Here is a 21515-nt window from a genome sequence, read left to right on the forward strand (position 1 = left end):
GTTCAGACTTCATTAGAAAAAGTTTTCAGGAAGTTTGCTATCTAGAGCATGCAAAATGAAAAGAAAGAGGATTGAGTATTTTTCGGGGGAAAAGTAATATAATACAAGTGCTTACTGTGTCTAAATTATCACAAGGAAGTCACCAAAAGTAGTGTATTTGTTCAATAGCTGGCAATCATGATTAGTTTAGAGAGAAGCTAATTGGAAGAAATGCTGACTAGACAGGGGAATAGGGAGAAAGAATATTGAAAGACTAGGTAAATGTTGCAGTGAGAATATTCACACAGAAAATCTGTGGCACAAAATTAGTTTTTCTGTTGCTTTTCTGCTTTTTGATCTTTACACCAGAAGCTGTCCTGCTGTGGTAGGGAGGGGTGTGGGGGTAGGAGGAGTGCCCGTCATTATTTGTCCACAGTCGATGTCCATGCTATCACCAAGAGTTGCCTAAACACAGCTCCACTTTGCTAAAGAGCAACTCTGGCAAGTCTCATTCAGATGACCACCAGGGGGGCAAAAGCCATTTACCCAGAATAAGAAATACTCTCATAGACACTCGGATTGGGGGCATCACATCCAGGAATCACCCAGGATATGGTTATTCCTCCTTTTTTCTTTGAGAGCATCATTATCTCCTAAAGCCACAGGTCCATCTTGTAGGATCCTTTTTACCCTCTGAAATTAGTAGATCAGTTTGCATTTTAAACCACACAGGATGCAAAAACATCTCCGTTTGGGAACTGGACAAGGTACAATCCCTGTGTGTCAACAGACAGTTGTGGCATCTCCTGCAGAGCTGTCCCAGGAAGTGTCTGCATCTCAGATGCTGATGACATAGACTACTCAGGAAGGCAGCCTTCGTGCTCTAGATTATACTCAAGTATAAGCAATCAGCATCATCCAGGTGTCACAGGAGGGCCTTGAAGGGTCATTAAAAAAAATTCTTGACCTAAATATTTCCAAACCAGTCAATTCTATGTTGTGGAATATTTGTCTTTGCAGCCCTTCAACCACTGAATTTTACTCTGATGAGATCAGTATATCCAAATTTTATCCTGGCCCATGTGATGATCAACACATGATTGTGACTAGAAATGGCAATCATTCTTCACACACAAAGGCAGCCCAAGAAGTACCAATTATGTTTTTAAAAACCTTTAACATGCCGGGTGCAGTGGCTCACGCCTATAATCCCAGAACTTGGGAGGCCGAGGCGGGCGGATCGCAAGGTCAAGAGATTGAGACCATCCTGGCCAACATTATGAAACCCCGTCTCTACTAAAAATAGAAAAAATTAGCTAGGTGTGGGTGCGTGCACCTGTAGTCCCAGCTACTTGGGAGGCTGAGGCAGGAGAATCGCTTGAACTCGGGAGGCAGAAGTTGCAGTGAGCCAAGATCACGCCACTGCACTCCAGCCTGGCAATGGAGCAAGGCTCCATCTCAAAAAAAAAAAAAAAAAAAAACCTTTAACAATGATTTATTGACCATCTACTCTATGCCAAGTTTTACAAGTTCTGAGTGAACAAATACAATATCCTTACCCCAAAGAAACTCCAGTCAAATAAGAGTAATATATAGTAAGGTAGGATGGAAGAGTGGAATATAAAAAAGAATGTGACAACATTCATTCATTCATCCAACAAGTATTTATTAATAACTTAAGAGATGTCAGATACTGTTTTATCACTGGGAGTGCTGTCCTGACAGAACTTACTAAAGAAATAATGTTCAGCACATTATTGGGAGAGAAGAACAAGGCTTAGGCTCATCTCTTAGAGAAGACCCTTGAGCTGGGTTTTATATACTCAGACAAGGTGGACTTGGAGGAGTGATGCTCTTTAACATCCAAAACAGAGTACATGGAGCCCACTCAGGGAAAAAATATTTAATAAGGTTAGTGAAATAATTTATCTCTACTCTTTAATATTATCAAAACATTAACTATATTAACTATAGGTTAACATGGTCATTGCTTTAGGTTGGTCATGTGAAAACATGGCAAGTTCTTTTGTTCTAGTGTCTTCATATATATATATATATATATATATATATATATATATATATATATATATATATTTTTTAGACAGGGTCTCACTGTGTTGTCCAGGCTGGAGGGCAGTGGCACAATCACAGCTCACAGCAGCCTCTACCTCCTAGGCTCAATTAATCCTCCTGCCTCAGCCTCTTGAGTAGCTAGGGCCACCGGCACTTGCCACCACACCAGGTTAATTTTTTTTCATTCTTTTGGTAGCGTGAGAGTCTCCTCGTGTTACCCAGGCTAGTCTCAAACTGCTGGGCTCAAGTGTTCTCCCCATCTTGACTTCCCAAAGTGCTGGCATTTAAAGTGTGGGCCACCCTGCCCAGCATTCCCAAAGATTAATGCCTGTGTGTACATACATGCACAGACACATACCATGTACACATGTGTGTGTATATGAACTGGCAGTCATGATTCCCCAGGATCTTGCTCAAAGAGAAATGCATAGGAACTCCCTCCCTCAATAATCTTGGGATTTTTCAGCCCACATGGGCACTCTTTGATGTCACTCTAATTGCTACATACCTGTAATGGGAATGATCAGAATAACTGAGGTTCCTGAATTTACCATGTTCCTTTACTAAAAACTAGACTATGTCAATAATTTTCAAAATACACTGTGGCTCAAGTCAGATTAATTAAATACTCTTTAAGATTGCCAAGAAATGAATTTTACTTGCCAACTCATTGAGGAAAAGTTCTTTGAAACCTCAAATTCCATCAGGGTTATGAATGTGAAATTATCTGCCCACAGTAATAATAAACTAAACAGTGACAGCCATTAGGAAGTGCGAGAGAGAGAGAGAGGAAGGCTTTTAAATCCCATTCTCTAGCAGTCAGAGCCGACAGTCCTTGTGACTTTTCAGGGCCCCAGGAGTCTCCCAGAATCTGAGTAGGCTCATTAAGCCCATTTCCAGAGAGACATGCAAAAGATATAGGAGAGAGGATTTCTAATTACAAAGATTAGCCAATAATTGGTACTTCCTTTTTCTCCAGTCTTCTTCCAACCACTAATGAACACAGCCACTCTCCATAAATAAAACTTTTTAAAAATACAGGTTTTACATCATGAATGTATTCTTCATGGGTGTTTACATTTAAAACTTAAACAAACTTATCAAGGCCCTTTCCATTTATGAGAAAGTAGATAATGGGACAAAACTGTCACGACTGATGAATAGCCTTCTCTATTTCCTCTCAAAGCCTTCTTCTGGAGATGGAGACCAAGTAGATGTAATTACCTGGGTACAATTTTACATTTTCCACACTTCCAGAGTAACTACACAAATGCCCCAGATTTCAACTGCACAATTCCTCATTTTGCAATCTCACCCTTTAACAATAGGCAGATATTGGTTTTTCATAATCCATTGCCACTTAGCAAAGTCCCTGAAGACATCATTTTGCCCAGCAAATCCTTGCTTGAGTAGAAGAACCCGAGAGGGAGAATTCAAACTATTTCTCTTGTTCTTTTTACAACCACACAGGCAAATACAGATTTATGACATGGTGGATCTGTGTGAATGGCGCCCAGGCATCCATTAGCTAGTCAGGGCTACGGGACTCTGGTTGGCTCTTCTCTACTTTCCTAATTTTAAAATACCCAAAGAATAATGACCATGGATGTTCTGGAGGGTTAGAGATCAAGAGGTTGTAGATTTAAAGAAAAAAAGTGAGAGAAAAAGAAACATTCAAGTAATGACCTCTCACATAATGAGAAATAGAATCTCCTCCGGATTTCCAAGCTGGCATTGTTTCCCTGGTACCTTCGCCTGGGGGCTCCTGTGTGTAATGTTTCTTTTAAAAATATCACACACAGGAAGGCAATGAGAAATACAAACACTGCACGGGAGAGCATTAATCTCCTTTTCTCTTAAAACTTGTGCTTAATCCCAAAAGCAAGTGGCAAAATAATCTTAAAGGTGATCATGTTATGTAACGACTCCTTTTGCATTTACAAAAGAAAAGCCACGCATTCTCAGGTGCTGAGCATTGAGTATTTCTGTTCACTCACTGGCCTTGTGGGCTAAGGGCAGCAATGACTATTTTTTTTTTTTTTTTTTTTTTTTTTTTGGAGACGGAGTCTCACTCTGTTGTCCAGGCTAGAGTGCAGTGGCGTGATCTTGGTTCAATGCAACCTCCTCCGCCTCCCAGATTCAAGCGATTCTCATGCCTCAACCTCCTGAGTAGCTGGGACTATAGGAGTACACCACCACACCCACCTGATTTTTTGTATTTTTAGTAGAGATGGGTTTTCGCCATGTTGCCCAGGCTGGTCTCAAACTCCTCAGCTCAGGCAATCCGCCTACCTTGGCCTCCCAAATTGCTAGGATTATAGGTGTGAGCCACCATGCCCAGCCTGATGACTAATTCTTCACAGCTAATAACTTGTTCTGGCCAAGGAGACAAGTAACCCTTTCTATCAGATTTTCTGAATGATACAAAAGTTTTTGTTTGTTTGTTTGTTTTTTGAGATGAAGTCTCACTTGTCGCCCAGGCTGGAGTGCAATGGTGCTATCTCAGCTCACTGCAATCTCTGACTCCTGAATTCACGTGATTCTCCTGCCTCACCCTCCTGAGTATCTGGGATTACAGGTGTGTGCCACCACGCCTGGCTAATTTTTGTATTTTTAGTAAAGATGGGGTTTCAACAAGTTGGCCAGGCTTGTCTTGAACTCCTGACCTCAGGTGATCTGCCCACCTCGGCCTCCCAAAATGCTGGGATTACAGCTGTAAGCCACCACACCCGGCCGATGCAAAAGTTTTATATCAGCAGCTCCACAGCAAAGCTCCCCTCTTGTGGGCTTGGGAACCCAATGCTAAGCCTTGCAGGTAGCATGGATCCAAGCAAGACCTGGAAGTTTCCTTTGGCTGAAACCAAGAGGCATTGGTAATTCTCATGGTGATAACAAATGCATCTTTTAAAACTTTTTTTAAAGGTTATCATTTCTTATTTTAGTTGCATAAATTTCATGTATTTATTTCCATTTGTATAGTACTGCCAATAGAGTACTCTGTGGTGACTGATGAAACACAAATTCAGGTTTCAGTCTATATTTTTAGGTCCCATGTTTTGGGGTTTTGGTGTTTTATATTTTGGTCCTATTTTTCTTTCTTTCTGATGGAGATGAATAATTAGTTGTGCTAGCTGAGATTGGCTCCTTACGTTGTACACCATTTTCAGAAGATGTGTCTCCATACGCGCCTGTGGTAGTGTCAAAGAGCTCCTCAGGCAACAGTGCTACACATAGATTGCTCAATGCCCAACAGAAAATACCACTGTCAGAACATGAAGGTTAATTTGTCTGGAGCACAGAACATTTTTGGAGATAATCCTGGAAAGATAACCAGCCTCAATATGGAAAACCACAGAAATATTCCACTCCATTCCTGGCAGATGAATTCCAAACTGTATGCAGAGACTTAATTACCCCATAACTATAAACTATGTTTAACAAATTTGTAGGGGTATTTTAGCCCCAGAAACTTTGTGATCTGTTTGTAGATATTTATTCATCACTCATAATTTCCTCCTAATTTTCCTGCACCTTGTGCAGCATTTAGAAGGTTAAATTTTGTTTCTGTTAGAATCCAAGGCCCCTCATGTAAATTATTAGTGGCTATCAGCTTGTCTTTTGAAAACTGTTGCTAAACTACAGATCAGCCCTGTGATAAATGTGATCCAATAATTTCAAAAAGCCACATAGGGAAATGTGTCAAAGTTCTTTATGACACTTGTTAGGAGAATATCACAACAACGAGAGATTTGTGGGTATTTTGTTTTGTTTTTTATGCCCAAACATATTCTTTCCATATGTTCGGCAATGGACTAGAAATACATATAGCTGAACTTTGAGAACATTAAGTTACATTTTAGAAGTGATCCAATTTTGGTTGAAAATATTGTAATTAGAAACTTCACATTTCGGTTTGCCTATGACATAGGACTACCTGCTGATCTCACTGCTTTATATAACTAAAAAACCTTGTGTGTCTTTTTTTGTTTGAGTTTTAATGAATAAAATACACAGGGGTAATATAGTGAAAGAGTTCTAGATATTATCTCTATCTTATTCCAAGATACCATAGTATATGAATAAATTTGAGTCTGCTTCAAGTTAGGATCAAGCAGCTCACTTCAGCAGGATTTATGCACATCTGAACACCTAATCCTCCAGAAAACTACTTTTAGCCACCATTCTTCTGTCTTAGCAGAATCAGAATAAATAATAGAACTTATTTAGGGCCCATTTCCCAATCTTCCTATAAACCCCTACCACCACTCCAACCTGAGAGCAAAGTATGGACCAGAAGTTTCCGAACAAACACAGTTCATTCATTCTCCACTTCTTTAATAACAACTTCCGAATGTCCCTGAATTTACCATGGCTCAGGAATTGGATTGTCTCCAAGGGACTTTCTAAAATAATAACTTCATGTCTGTCATTAGTATTCCTCTTGAAATTAGAAGTCTATAATAGCAGAGCCTCGATATGGCCTTGTACTAGGTTAAATTTTCACCCTAAATCATCACAGATCACAAAAGAGCTAGCCAAGAAACATGGACCAAGTCTTCCCCTCATGCATGTTACAGACACAAAGTGCAAGAGTTGTCTTTAACTTTATAACATGGTCATATCTGGTTAACTAATTATTACATTAGGATTTGACAGTACAGAATTTGCTTCTGGATTCTGTCACTGATTTTGTGTTGTTTGGAAGAATTACTTAATTTCTATATAAGGGATATGACAACAATGGTTAAGGGGTCAAGTTCTTTGGAAGTATTACCATAATTTATATTTTATATTGGGGGCTGGTTTTTATATAAAAAGATGATAGAGATAGATAGATAGATAGATAGATAGATGATAGGTTAATAGATAGACATACATATATACATATGTAAACATTTGGTAGAGGAGTACCCAGCATTAATGCCATTTCACAAAAGCTTCTGGTGTTCCTGAAATTCTCACTTACTTAGTGTTTTATTTAGCTTTAAAAGACACATTAGCTTTGGGACACAAAACAAAACAGGAATGGAACCCTATCTGTCAAAAATATTGAGTGCTGCATCTGCCCTCAATTTTTATTAAAATCACTCTAAATCTTGCCAGTCTGTCCAACTAAAAAGAGTAAAATAATAAGATATTCTACTGATGCTGGAATAAGGACAAAAAAGATGTTTGACTCAGCCAATAAATTGAAATGCTATAGGAGAGAGCCAAGGGGATAAATAACCCATCTGAATTAGGAAACAGACAGGACTTCATGGCACAGATATTTTTCTCAGTTCTAGTTACTGAGACCAAAGATGACGGTATTTATTGATGGCATTCAGATGTCTCCCCTTTGCCAAACACAATATTTTTTCCAATGTGGTAGTAGAGAAATGTGTCTTTTGTATTGACTTAAAATTTTCTAGCCAGACATTTTTTTTCCGGAAAAATATAGCAGGAAGAGTACCATTGATAATTCAGAAGTAGCCAGCCTTCTAGGGAAACAATGTCCAAAGAACACAAGCAAACTTTTGCATGTGCTGCCTCTTAGTGTTTTCTTTTTGATAGAGCAGTTAGAGCTGACTATGGAAAGACATAATTAAAGTGCTAGAGATAAATATTCTAAAGATGTGAAAGAAACACGGTCATGTAAGTCTCACATTGCTGCTATTTCAGAATGAAGTGCATTTATATGAAATGGCATACCTGGAAGTGTGGAGTACTGTTCAGAAAGGGGAAAAGGACTGTTCATGGATAACTTATTCACATCAGAGATCTCAGGCATCTCTCAGACATAAGGAGGATTGATTTCTATGGTTGACTTGTGCAGTTTTTCTCTTAAAGTGTCAAATGCAGCAGTTCCTGAGCCCGCTCTTTATCTGACAAAAAAGGAGGACTAGAGCCACAGATGAGAGTCTAAAGGCGCTACCTGTGCCAGGTATTCAGCTTGCATGTGATTCTGCCACACATTGACCTCTCAGGAGCCTTTAAAATTGAAAGTGTTCTGAACATTCAATCCAGCAAGTGTTTATTGATGGTCTTCCTTGTGCTAGCTGTTGGAGATATAACAAAAAGCAAACACAATTTCTGCCTTTGAGACACCCACCTATTGGGGAAAGACCAAAATGTAAATGGCATTTTGATTCAAATCAACAAACACTTCTTGAGGCTGCACTTAAGGGTCCTATTGCTTTAGGCACTAGAGATAGCAGGGAACAAGACAGACAGAAGATCATGCCCTCCTGGAGTTTATGTTCTACAGCAATTTCAATCCTGTGCAACAGAACTTTCTGTGATGATAGAAATATTCTGTACGTCCACTGTCCAATACAGAAGCCACTTGCCATGTGTGGTTACTGAGCACTTGGAATGTGGCTAGTGTGAATGAAGAACTGACCTCTTAAATTTCATTTAATTTTAATTCATTTAAATTTAAGTAGTCACACATGGCTAGAGCAGCACTCATTGTACTTTCAGTGATAATGAAATGTTCTGTACCTGTGCCACCCAACAGGGTAGCCACAAGTCACATGTGGTTAGTGAGTACCTGAAATGTGGCTATTGTGACTGAGGAACTGAATATTAAATTGTATTGCATTTTAATTAATCTAAACTTAATGTAAACACATGTGGCTAGTGACTATGCATTAGCACAGTTCTGGAGACTTGGTTCTCAAAGTGTGGTCCATGAACCAGCGGCATCTCCGTGTTAAAAATTCAGCCCCTGCATTTTAGCAGAGTCCTCAGATTAAAGTGTGAAAGGCACTTGTCAATTAGAGAAAGATAAGGCATAAAACAAAGTAAATGAATTATATGTGTGTGTATACATATGTGCAGGTGTATCTGTGCATGTATGGGTGAGAACATGGCTATGTATAAGAATATGCATGTGTATAGGTGGTGATGAGAACATTCTATGATGCAAAATAAAGCAGGGAAGGAGGACAAGGAGTACAGTGTGGAGAAACTTTAATGTTTAGAAGACATTCAGAGAAGTCTTCACTGAAAAGGTGACCATTGAGAAAAGACTTGCAGGAGATGAGTTATATTAATCCATTCTCACACTGCTAATAAAGACATACCAGAGACTGGGTAATTTATAAAGGAAAGAGGTTTCATTGACTCACAGTTCCACAGGGCTGGGGAGGCCTCAGGAAACTTACAATCATGGCAGAAGGGGAAGCAGACACGTCCTTCTTCACATGGTGGCAGGAAGGAGAAGAATGAGAGCAAAGGAGGGGAAAAGCCCATTATAAAACCATTGGATCTCATGAGAACTCACCCACTATCACGAGAGCAGCATGAGGGTAACCACCCCCATGATTCAATTACCTCCCACTGGGTCCCTCCCAGGACACATGGAGATTATGGGAACTACAATTCAAGATGAGATTTGGGTAGGGACACAGCAAAACCATATCGTGAGGGAACAGACAAGTGGATATCTTTTGGAAGAGCATTCCAGACAGCTGAAACAGCAAAAACAAAGGCCTTGAGGCAGGAACAAAGACCCACCTGGCTTGTTCCAGGAACTGGCAGGAGGCCGCAAGGCTGGGGCAGGGTGCCTGGGGACACTGTGGTAGAAGTTGGGAGTCCAGAAGTAATAGGAGCAGCTTGTGAGAGGCTGGTGCCATTGTAACGAATTTGGCATTTACCCCCAGTGAGTAGGGGGATCATAAACAAAATGAATAGTATGATTTGACTTATATTTAATAGAGCACCCTCTGACTTTGTGCTGAAACAGGCTTGAGTGGCACCGGGAAAAAGCAGGGACTAGCTAGGAAACTATTGCAGCAATCCAAGCGAGAGATGAGGGTACTTTGGACCACGTTGGTGAAGATGGAAGTGGTGAGAAGTGGTCAGATTCTGGGTATGTTTTTAAGATAATACCAAATAGGATTTGCTTACAGATTGGGAGACAAAGAGAACAAAGATGACCCCAAGCTAGCTGACACATTTTCTGGCTTTATGAACACAGACTACAAAATAGAGTCAGACATCATTTCCTGCACTATCTACGTGACAAAAACTTCAAGGCTCTGTCCCATTCCTGAGGGGAAGTCCACTAATCTATCCCTATTGGCAATCTGAGTGGATAACATGTAGAAGGACTGTAGCCAAGCCTCCATCACACTTCTTTCTTTGATATGGACATTTGAGCTTTTCTGCCTTTCATAGAAGAGGCTATGAAAACTCATCTTCAGCCAGATTACCTCCCAACAAAACCTCCTTATAGAAATTATTAGTCACCAGTGTCTATCAGTTCTCCTATCAACGAAATTTCTGGAAAGCAACACGGAGACTGCTTGACACCTCCATCTGCCATCCTCCATTGGGTCCTGGCCAATCCTGCACTCTTCAGATCCCCTCTGACCATCACCTCATTGGCTTCTCCTGGTTGCCCTGCTCTGCTCAGAATTCAGTCCTTGTAAGCCAACAGTTACGAAAGACTTTGTCAATCATTTAACTTATTCAGCCAGTATTTACTAAGTACCAGCCATAGACCAAGCATTTTTTTAGATTCTAAAATTGTGGACAGAACAGGTGATTCCATAGCCCTGTGAAATTTACTTTGCTGAAGGAGAGACAAATAATAAACAAATAAAAGCATAACATAATAGCAGGTAGTGATGAGGACTATGAGGAGAACTAAAGAGGTTAAGGGGAGACTGTGTGCCCAAGGATGTGAAGGGGCTATTTCTGACAGGATGCTCAGGGAAGGCTTCTCTGAAGATGATATTTCAGCAAGAGAGAGAATGTATTTGCATTATAGCAATGCAAACAATTTTGCAATTGAATGCTGTTATTAGTTTCCTGTTACAGATTACACATTATCCCAACATTTGGCAATTTCAAACAACAAACATTTATTATCAGACAGTTTCTGTGGGTCAGGAATTAGGAGCAGTTTAGCTGGGTGCTTCTGGTTGAGAGTCTGCCAGTGAATATACTGGCCCCGGCAGTCATCGTCTGAAGGCTTGATGGGCTGGAGAACCCACTTTCAGTCGCATTCAGTGGCTGCTGACAGTTTCCCCCAGAGTGAACGATCCAGACAAGGGGCCAAGAGATGGCAAGCTGGAAGCCATGGGTCTTTTATGACCCTGTCTTGGAATGACCACTAGGATATATCACTTCTGCTGTATCCTAGTGGTCCCACAGACTGTCCCTGATACAACGTGGAGAAAACGACAAAAAGCATGAATTCCAAGAGTTGAAGATCACTGGGAAACCATCTTGGAGACTGGCTGTATCAAATGCAGAGCATCCCATTCTTGAGAGACATTCAGCTCTTTGTTACCCAGTCACGCCATTGACTGGCTCTTTAATCCCTCTCTCAGAGGCTAAGAGAAGAAAAGGAGGAAGATTGGAGGAGAAGAAGAAAGAGAAATAAAATGAAAAGGAAAAAATGACAGAGAAATTTTTGCATTTTCTTTTGAAAAGCCATTCAATTTTGTCAACTCCTAAGCCCAGATCATTTCTAGACATGTCGTTGTGTGTCCAAGCACCCATTATTGGGCTTTGCTGCAATGGGATGGTTTACTCAGTATCTCAAGGTTTCTTTCTCCCACTAACTGTCATGCCAGATACCACAAAGATAAGTGCATTTTCTAAGAATTTTGTTCTCTCAAAGATACAAATTATGCCAAATGTTCCCTTTATGAGACTAAAGTTAGATATAAGACAGTTTTTATTAAAAATAATTACTTTTGGCTGGGTACGGGGGCTCAGGCCTGTAATCCCAGCACTTTGGGAGGCCGAGGAGGACAGATCACCTGAGGTCAGGAGTTTGAGACCAGCCTGGTCAATATGGTGAAACCCCATCTCTACTAAAAAAATAAAAATGCAAAAACTAGCCAGGTGTGGTGACTTACACCTGTAATCCCAGCTACTCAGGAGGCTGAGACAGGGGGATCACTTGAACCTGGGAGGCGGAGGTTGCAGTGAGCCAAGATCGCGCCATTGCGCTCCAGCCTGGGCCACAAGAGTGAAACTGCGTCTCAAAAAAAAAAAAAATCACTTTCATTAAACCTATTTGAAGACATTGTCTATTTTATGATCCATTACCTTTCTTCAACATCTGACACTTTTCATTCACTTAGATCTCTGCAAACTGTCTCACACAATAAATCTCTTTAGGTTTAGTTCCAGGGAAAAAATTTACCCTGCAGACAAGTTTGCCTGCTTTCTTTCAGCAATCCATGAAAATGACATATCTCATTATATTTTTATCTTCCTTTGTTTCCAGGAAATATAAAAAAATAATTAAAGGCCAAACAGTATAATCTTTAGCTCTTTCCCAGATAACTAGTAGCATCTATTCCTGCTGCTGTATTTCATTTGACTGTTATCCTTTTTCATTATGTTTAAGGTTGTATACCACCTCCAATGCCTTTGCATTTCTTTATATTTCAATTAAATAGTAAATGATGATAGTTCCAACCCACAGTAAACAATTCTTTACTCTGGCTCCAAAGCTTAGGTCCACACACGGAAGGACTATCACTGTGAGGAAGAGCTGTGCTGCTTTAAATCATCATCATCATCATCATCATTGTCATCTTCATCATCAATAGTTCCAGTAACACTGCTGAATATGAAAAACTCCTAGCTGACCCCGCTAATATCTTGAGAATGCTGTCTTTTACCTGTATTCCTTCTTGAAATTCATGGAACCAGCATGTGATTATTCAGATTAGTCCCTCTTCTGAGCTCCGTGTCAACCCCGGGTACTGTTTATTAAGGGGTAAATTGTATCTCCCCACTTTCCCGAATTCACATGGTGAAGTTCTAATACCTAACACTTTAGAATGTGACTATGTTTAGTGATAGGGTCTTTAAGAGGTAATTAAGTTAAAATGAGTTCATTCAGGTGGGCCCTAGTTCAGTATGACTGGTGTCATTTTAAGAAGAGGAAATTTGGACACAGACTTGTACCAAGGGAAGACCATGTGAAGACGCACAAGAAGACAGCTATCTACAACTCAAGAAAAGAGGCCTTAGGAGAAACTACCCTGAAGACACCTTGATCTTGGACTTTTAACTTCCAAACTGTGAAAACATAAATTTCTGTTGTTTTAGCTACCCAGTCTCTGCTACTTTGCAGTGGTAGCCCTTGCAAACTAACACACTGTTATGTCCTCCCACAGAGGAGTAAAAGCTGAGGCCCTCAATTATTTTTATAATCAGGGTCAAGCTATAATTGGCCACAATTTGGTTTGAAGATACAAAATCATATAGAAGCTGAGCATAGGGAATAGAACAGCAGAAACCAATCATGCTAGCAGGTGTCAATTACATCCCAAGGGAACTTCTGAAAGTGTCAAAGACACCATCAGCCTGATCAACAGCTCACTCCTCTGAACTCCACTGAGGTAACAGTAATGGAGGGTGAGGGGTTTGAGTTTGGGACAAATATCCCAGAGAATATTCTTTTCTCTGAAGCCCAAAGTCTTATTTCTCCATGTGATGCTGAAATACCACAGTTGACTGTGTCCTTTATGGCTTGATACCACCAGTAGTTATCTTCTTTTCATCTTTTGACATTACTTTAAATCACTGCACGTGTTAAATTGCTTTTCTAAACCGGAGGCATAAGGCCTTCTGGGGAAAGGGATGCGGAGACACTCTGAAAGTTGGACATCACAGGCTGATCTTCACATTAAGAACCCAATGACACATCCTTCTTGCTTCCCCAAGGAGAGACAGAGGAGCACTTCTTGGCCCAGAGGATTTTTACGGTAGCGCAGATCTGCTGAAATCATAGCTGGATAACATTTCCAGCATCTAATTTGATATCAGAATTTAGCAACGTGAGGACTGACAGGGAGTGGGTGAGGATAGGTAATGACTAGAAATTCAAGACCAGAAAAAAAAAAAAGTTCCCTGTAGATAAGTTAGAAGACACACAAACATTTCATTTTCTTCTCTTCTTACTCTTAAAAAAAAAAACTACAGTAGTATTTCCTTTCCAGAAAAGGGATGTGAATATTTATGCATCACATGATGGTATTGCTGGTAACACTCAGCTTCTATTATCATCTTCAGAATGTGGTGCAGACAGAGTCATTCCAAATATTTCCATGCTGTGACAAATGAGAACCTGGATCTATTCTTTTCTGATTTCTCCTAAATGTACATGGTGATATTTTTTTCACAAGACATAAATTGAACCCATCCATGAAAGGATGCAAACCTTTCAGTGAAGAAAATGGAATGTTTATCTGCTGACTCAAGTACACAGGTGTCAGACATATATACCTCTGAAGCATTGATGACAGGAGTGTTCCCTCACAGTATCTGTTATGACAGCAGGACTAATAAGTGCAGGTCATCAGCCACCATTTTTTAGCTAGAGGGATCAGGAAGTATAAATAGTGGCTGTGAAAATGCCATGCCCCATCACCATCACTGATCCCCTATAGCATGACTGGCTGCTTCCTATAACTGCTTCCTTCATCATTTATTAGGATAAAGAAGTGGTGGTCAATGTGTGGCATTCACTGCCACCTCCTGAGAGGGCTGGAATCATGGAGACACCAATAGGCTTGGAGAAGAAGTACCAGCTCTATGCCTAATTAGCTGTGTGACCCGGAGCAGATCACTTAATCTTTCTATCCTCAGTGGCCTTGAAGAGGATCAAGGGGATCAGAACATGTCACCTCAACATATGCCACTTTTGCATAATAACTATTTTGTGCTGAAGGCTTCTGAGTTTCTGAAATCTTTTTATGTGCCTAAAAGCAAAGCCTCCCCAAACAACTCAATATCCATAAATTTCCTCCCTGAGAGCAACTCTAACCTTCTCAGAGAGAAGTCAGCACCACACTGAGACAGACATTGTCACAAACTGTCACATTTCCCATTTATTTTCATAAGTGACCATTTGTCTTTCCAAATAGTCATTTTTCTTTCCATAAGTGCCCTTTTACCCCTGGCCCTTTCCCATTGAGTTAGGTACATGGACCCCACATTCTCACCACCTCTTGGAGTTCCTCCTCTCTGAAAGCTCCCATGTGTGTGCATCATGCACATGTTAATAGACTTCTGTTTATTATTCTCATGTTCATCTGTCTTTTGTCAGACTAATTTACAAGATCCCAGGTAGAGAACCTAGGAGAATCATGGGAAAAAGAATTTCTTCTCCCCTACAACCTCATCTCTCACTTATGGAATTTGATCCAGTTCTCTTCCCTAAGTGATAGGGCGAGAAATGTGAGAGATGATAAATAAAAGTGTTTTGTCAACCTCAAAAGCCTGTGAAAGTGTAAGGACTAAGGAATGCACATGCACAGCCACCGAAGTCTTCAGCCTGCAAATCCGGAAGGCTCTTGCATCTGTTTTCATGCTCTGCTCCACCAAGCTGCCCATGGTTGTCTTCAGGAATACTCTGCTCACATGTCTTTAATTTGGATAGATTTCTGGCTGCTAAATCATGTAGTATAGCTGCAGCCACCTTCAGATATCATGTCTGAATTGAAGAACCCTGACTATAACTCAAAAATGGTGAGATTTGAATTTAAATACTAATGGAGTATCGATTTATTAACTTTCTTACTGCAACACATTTCTTGGTGCATGTAAGACCCTCATCTATAAGCCACAAACTTACCTACTTGAGGTATAAAGTCCAGTGTAGCCTATTTCCTGAAAAGTTTCTAAAAATATAATACTTCTGACGTCAAATAGCCTTCCAAAAAAGGATAATAGTTGTGTCAGAAAATTTTGTAAGAATTCTTTCCATTTCTTTTCTATTTTAAAGCAATTTATAATCTGTATTTCTGAACACCGAGTTGATACTCTTAACAATACCAACAAACCCATAAGTCTAATTGTAACATCTTTATGATTCAAGAATGAACTTTGCTGCTTAATTCTGTTTCGGTAAATGGTAATTCTTCACCTGCTGAGTAAGCAAATACCTAGGCTGGCGCAGTTTTAAAAACATTCAGAGTTAACTTAGTCTTTTGGGATTGAGTTTATAGCAATGCCAAATTGCTTTGAATTTGGTCTTCCCTTCCCACTTGGTAACGTATCACTCTCCTACTCGAAAAATCTGGCTTAGAAATAGGCACTGTAATGTTACCGGGGGATGAAGGAGGTCAACAGGTTTGTGGTGGAGAATGGGAAGACAGGGAATCAAGCAGCTTTGTATTCTCAGCCCTAAATAACTAACTGTACCCCAAGTCCTGTTCTGTTCTGTTCTGTTTTGGCCCATGGGAAAGAAAAATAAAAGACAGGAGAGAGCAGTGTCATGGCAACAGGAAGCCCAGGGAAAGAGAAGTGGCAGCGACTGAGAGGGCCCGGGTGACACTGACAGAGGGCCTGACCACTGCAGATAGCACTGGCCACGTTTGCCTGTGAGGACAGAAGGTGACCCCAGCAGCCACCCTGCAGGGCTGTGTTTATCCAGCAGCAGTCAGCGCTTGAGCAGCCCCAGCTGTGGTGAGTTCGTGAGCAGGGTAGACCACACCCATCAATGGAAGAAGCATCCAAAACCTGCCTAGGGTTTGTGGAGGAGGTGGTGGGTGCTGGATACAAAGGGGATTCCAGGAACATGGGTGCTGCTCACCTGTCCTTGAAAGGTTGAGAAGAGCATTCATGACTTGAGCTGTCCAAGTAAGGCGCCAAGAAGGAACTATCCAAATGATGGCTATAAACGGACAGAAGGAAAGAACAGATCTTCATTAAATCATTACTCCACAGTTTTCCCATACTGAACCATTTCTGGAAATGTTTATAGGTACACAAAATAAGGCAATAAAATGCTCTTATCAATGATACTTCAAACAATGTGATGTTGCCTCATGGTGACAATCCAGGAGGAATTATACAATTAGAACTTTCCATTTGCTTTCATTCTAGACAAAAGTTTACTGTGTCTTAGTCCATTTGTGCTGCTGGGACCAGAAAAACCATAGATCGGGTAATTTATAAAAAATAGAAATTTGTTTCTTGCTGTTCTGGGCACTGGAAAGTCCAAGATAAAAGAGGCAGCTGGTTCAGCGTCTGATGAGGGCTGCTCTGTGCTTCCAAGATGGCGCCTTGTTGGGGCGTTCCCTGGAGGGGATGAGCATTATGTTCTAACATGGTGAAAGAGCAGAAGACAAGGAATTCACTCCCTCAAGCCCTTTTATAAGTGCCTTAATCCCACCCATGAGGGCTCCTGATGACTTAGTCACCTACTGAAACCCCCACCTCTTAATATACATCGGTGATTAAGTTTTAACATTTGAATTTTGGGGACACATTTAGACCATAGCACATGGTCAAGGCATAAGGAAAGTAAACTATCATTTAAAGAGTACATAAGCAGGCCCCTCTGAACACTCATAAGTAGATTGAGCTGACACCCTTGAAATAGTCCTCAGGAAAACCAAACCACCAGGGGCTTTATTCTCCATCCACAGTGATGCAGAACTTTCTAGCCATACGTGACACCAAGCCTGAGCAATGGGAACTACTGAAAAGAGTTCCAGTAAGAGTAAAATATAAAAGATATTTCATCAGCATGAGCTGTAGCATAGAAAAATGGACTTGCCTGAGTGTGATTCTAGGGACAAAGATGCTTATACATCAGAGAGCACAAGTTCTGTGCCATTCAATGTGAAGTTGAATCCTACTTTTCCTAAGAAGCTTCCCTATCTCCACACTTCTGGGAGCAGGTCTGGGCTCATACTCATACCTAGAGAGCCCCTGGTTTCTTTACAAGAAGTCTCCAACTCCTTCTCAGAACCCTACAAATCCAGGGAAGAGTGACCATTGCTTAGCCTCAGATTTCCTGTGTTGAATTGCACGTCCACACTGAGTCAGCTCAGGGACCTTGTGCAAGGCACCTAACCTTGTTTCCTCATCTTGTACATAAGAGTAACAGGACCTACCATTGATACAGGTAAATCGGAAAATCATTCAAGTTAGTCCTCACAGAAAAAGTGGATCCACTGCAAAGTTACTTAGTCACTACCTAAACAAACACATTGTAAAGGTATTTATTTTCAAATCCACTTCGCCAGCCACCTTTTAGAGACCAGAGCTTCTCAAATTTTAGAATGCATCAGAATTACCTGGAGGGTTTCTTAAAACAGATTGATGAGCCCCATCTCTGGATTTTCTGATTTTAATGGGGCCGGAGAATTGGCTTTCTAGGAAGTTTCCAGAGAACTCTGATATTGCTGGTTTGGGGACCACACATTGAGATCCGCCGTTATATAGGTGATTAGCTTTGTTAAATATTCTCTCTATTAGATAAACTCCTTTGTTCTAAATAAGTTAAGATCAGGTTAAAGTCTATTAATCTATTTATGACTTCATTCAAATAACTCATTTGAATGTATAAGCAAAAATATACTTTCCAAGGCCCTTTTAGCAGTCGACTCTTTTGAATGGGAAATTCGAGAAAGAAAAAGGGTAACAAATTTAGGATATGGATATGAATTTGATCTTTATACATAGCCATCACCCAATCTTGCTGAACTTTGGGTATCAATTATGGCTTGTTTTATGTCTATTGTTTTTATTTACAAAGCCAAAATGAAAAACTGGGACTCGCTATGTTTTTGGAATTATAAGGCTGTGGAACAGATGGTCTGATCAAGGGCCTAGCGGGCTTTTCTTCACTTTCTGCAGAGTACCAGCTGCAAGGACTTCTGAGATCACAGGGAGAAAGAAAATCTCATCCCCTTGATGGAAAATGAAAATCCCTGTAGCATTTATGAGACTTGGAGAGGAAGTGGCTGTTCACTTCATGATACAGAGGAGTACATGGGGCAAGAACCCAAAACTCTAAGCCTGCTTTCCATCATGTTACACACAGAGAAGGGACACAGACATGCCAGATAGCCTATATTGGATACAGATGTCCCGAAAGGAGCAAGTTTGTTCTGTTCAGCTGCCACGGCAACACCAGCTGCTTATGAAATTATGAGGAGAGAGGGGTGAGGGGGGTTACGTGTTCAGACATATATTTACAGTAATTTTACAAACCTCATTATTTCCAAAGAAGAGCAAGATGAAAGCAGCCTGTTTATAAGCCAGACTCACCAACTAGGCCTACCATCCCCCCTCCCTTGAGCACCATTACTGCAATATACGTGCGCTAAATGGAGAATTGGCCAATTATTCAGAATGTCCAAGAAAAGTCCTCTTTGATTCAATCAAGTGTCTGCTTTAGTAGACAGATATAATTTATATAAATGGAATTGTATCTCATCCCCTTATCAAAGAAGAGGGGCCTAGACTTCTTGTCTGAAAGTGACATCTGGCTGGCATCTTTTGAAAAAACATCCCCCACAATCCTCTAAAATTTTGTTTCACTTTTTGTAAGGTTCTTGACAACAATTGATTAATCCAATCATTAATCAATTAATAAAGACAAAACACCTCTGAAAACTAGAACAGATGGTTAAGGTCTTCCATAATTTGAGGGAATTTCCAATGACTATAAAACTGAGGGAAACTGGTGTAGTGTCCGCTTCTGGCTCAGAAAGGCAGGGATGATACCAGTCAGAAAACTGGCCCATAGTTTCCCATCTACGTGGAAATGCTAGATGAGGCACTCGATATGATTGTGTAGATTTGGTAGTTACTTTATGCTTAAATCAGTTGGTGTCTGAAACTCCCCACAGACTTCTGAGCAACAAAGGGAGGGATGAAGGTGAACCCCCTGGGAAGGGAGGTCACCTGAGTAAAGTGCTCTGGGCACAGACAAGGAAATTGCCCAGAAAGCAGGGCCTACTCGAGGGTATGGTTTCTCCTCTGGTCTATCTTTTTGTAAAGTTTCAGAAAACCAGGGAGAAAAGATTGTGAAAATAAGTATAAACATATAGCAGATACATTATATTCATACAATGTGATGGTTAATTTTATGTGTCAACTTTACTGGGTTAAGGAATACCCAGATAGCTGATAGAGCATTATTTCTGGATGTGCTTGTGAAGGTGTTTTCAGAAGAGGTTCACATTCGAATCAATCGACTAAGAAGATCCACCTTTATTAACGTGGGGGCGGGGGGCATATCAAGGGCCTGCCTGAATAAAACAAAAAGGCAGAGGAAGAGTGACTTCTCTCTTTTCTTGAGTTGGGACGTCATGTTCTCCTGCCCTCAAACACTGGAGCGCCTGGTTGTCAGATTTTGCTGCTCCAGACTTACACCAGCAGTCCCCAACACTTAGTTCTCAGGCCTTTGTTCTTGGTCTAGGAGTTAAAACATCAGCTTCCCTGGTTCTCAGAGCTTCAAACTGGGACTAAAATACACTACTGGCTTCCCTGATTCTCCGTCTTGCATTTGACATATCGTGAGACGTCTGGGCATCCTTAATCAAATGAGCCAATTCCCAGAAGAAATCTACTCATATGTATGTATATGAGTACATATAGATACTCATACACACACACAAGTATACACACACACACATATGAGATTGTATGTGTGTGTGTATATATATATACATATTTTATATGCATATATAATGCATATATAAGTAGAGAGAGAGAGTGTGTGTGATTTAAGAGATTTAAGGAACTGGCTTACACAATTATAGGGCTGCCAAGGCTATAGGGCAGGCTGGCAGGTGAAAACTCAGGTGTGATTTCTATACTACAGTCTTAAGAGATAATTCCTTCCCCTCTGAGAAACCTAATTCAGCTCTTAAGGACTTCAACTGATTAGATGAGGACCACTCACATTATGGAGGGAAATCTGCTTTACTTAAAGTCAACTGATTGTAGATGCTCATCACATCTACAAAATGCCTTCACAGCAACATCACAGCCTTGCCAACTTGACATATAAAATTAGCCATCGAAGGAGGGTTAGTAAAGGGACTACAGACACACCAAGTTTTATTGTGCTTCACTTTATATCACTTTGCAAATAGTGTTTTTTACAAATTGAAGGTTTGTAGCAACCCTGTGTCTAACAAGTCTCTTGGTCCTATTTTTTCAAATACATATGCTCACTTTGTGTCTCTGTGTCCCATGCCAATAATTCCTGCAATATTTCAAGCTTTTTTACTGTAATTATACCTGTACTGATGATCTGTGACCAGTGATCTTTGATATTACTCTTGTAATTTTTTGGGGGCACCTTAAACCACACTATGATAAGACTAAGAACTTAACCAATCCAGTAAGTGTTGTGTGTGTTCTGACTCTTTCATCAAAACTGGTCATTCCCCCATCTGTCCACCTCTCCTCCAGCTTCCCTATTCCCTAAGACACAATATTGAAATTAGGTTCATTAATAACCTTACAATGGCTTCTAAGTGTTCAAGTGAAGAGTAGTATGTCTCTTACTTTAAATCAAAAACTAGAAATGTTTAAGTTTAGTGAGGAAAGTATGTTGAAAGCTAAGATACACCAAACACTAGGCTTCTTGCACAAAACAGCTAATTTGTGAGTGCAAAGAAAAAGTTCTTGAAGGAAATTAAAAATGCTACTCCAGTGAACACACAAATGATAAGAAAGCAAAACAACCTTATTAC

Source organism: Homo sapiens, chromosome 5, assembly GCF_000001405.40.
Source record: "Homo sapiens chromosome 5, GRCh38.p14 Primary Assembly".
NCBI classification, from domain to species: domain Eukaryota; kingdom Metazoa; phylum Chordata; class Mammalia; order Primates; family Hominidae; genus Homo; species Homo sapiens.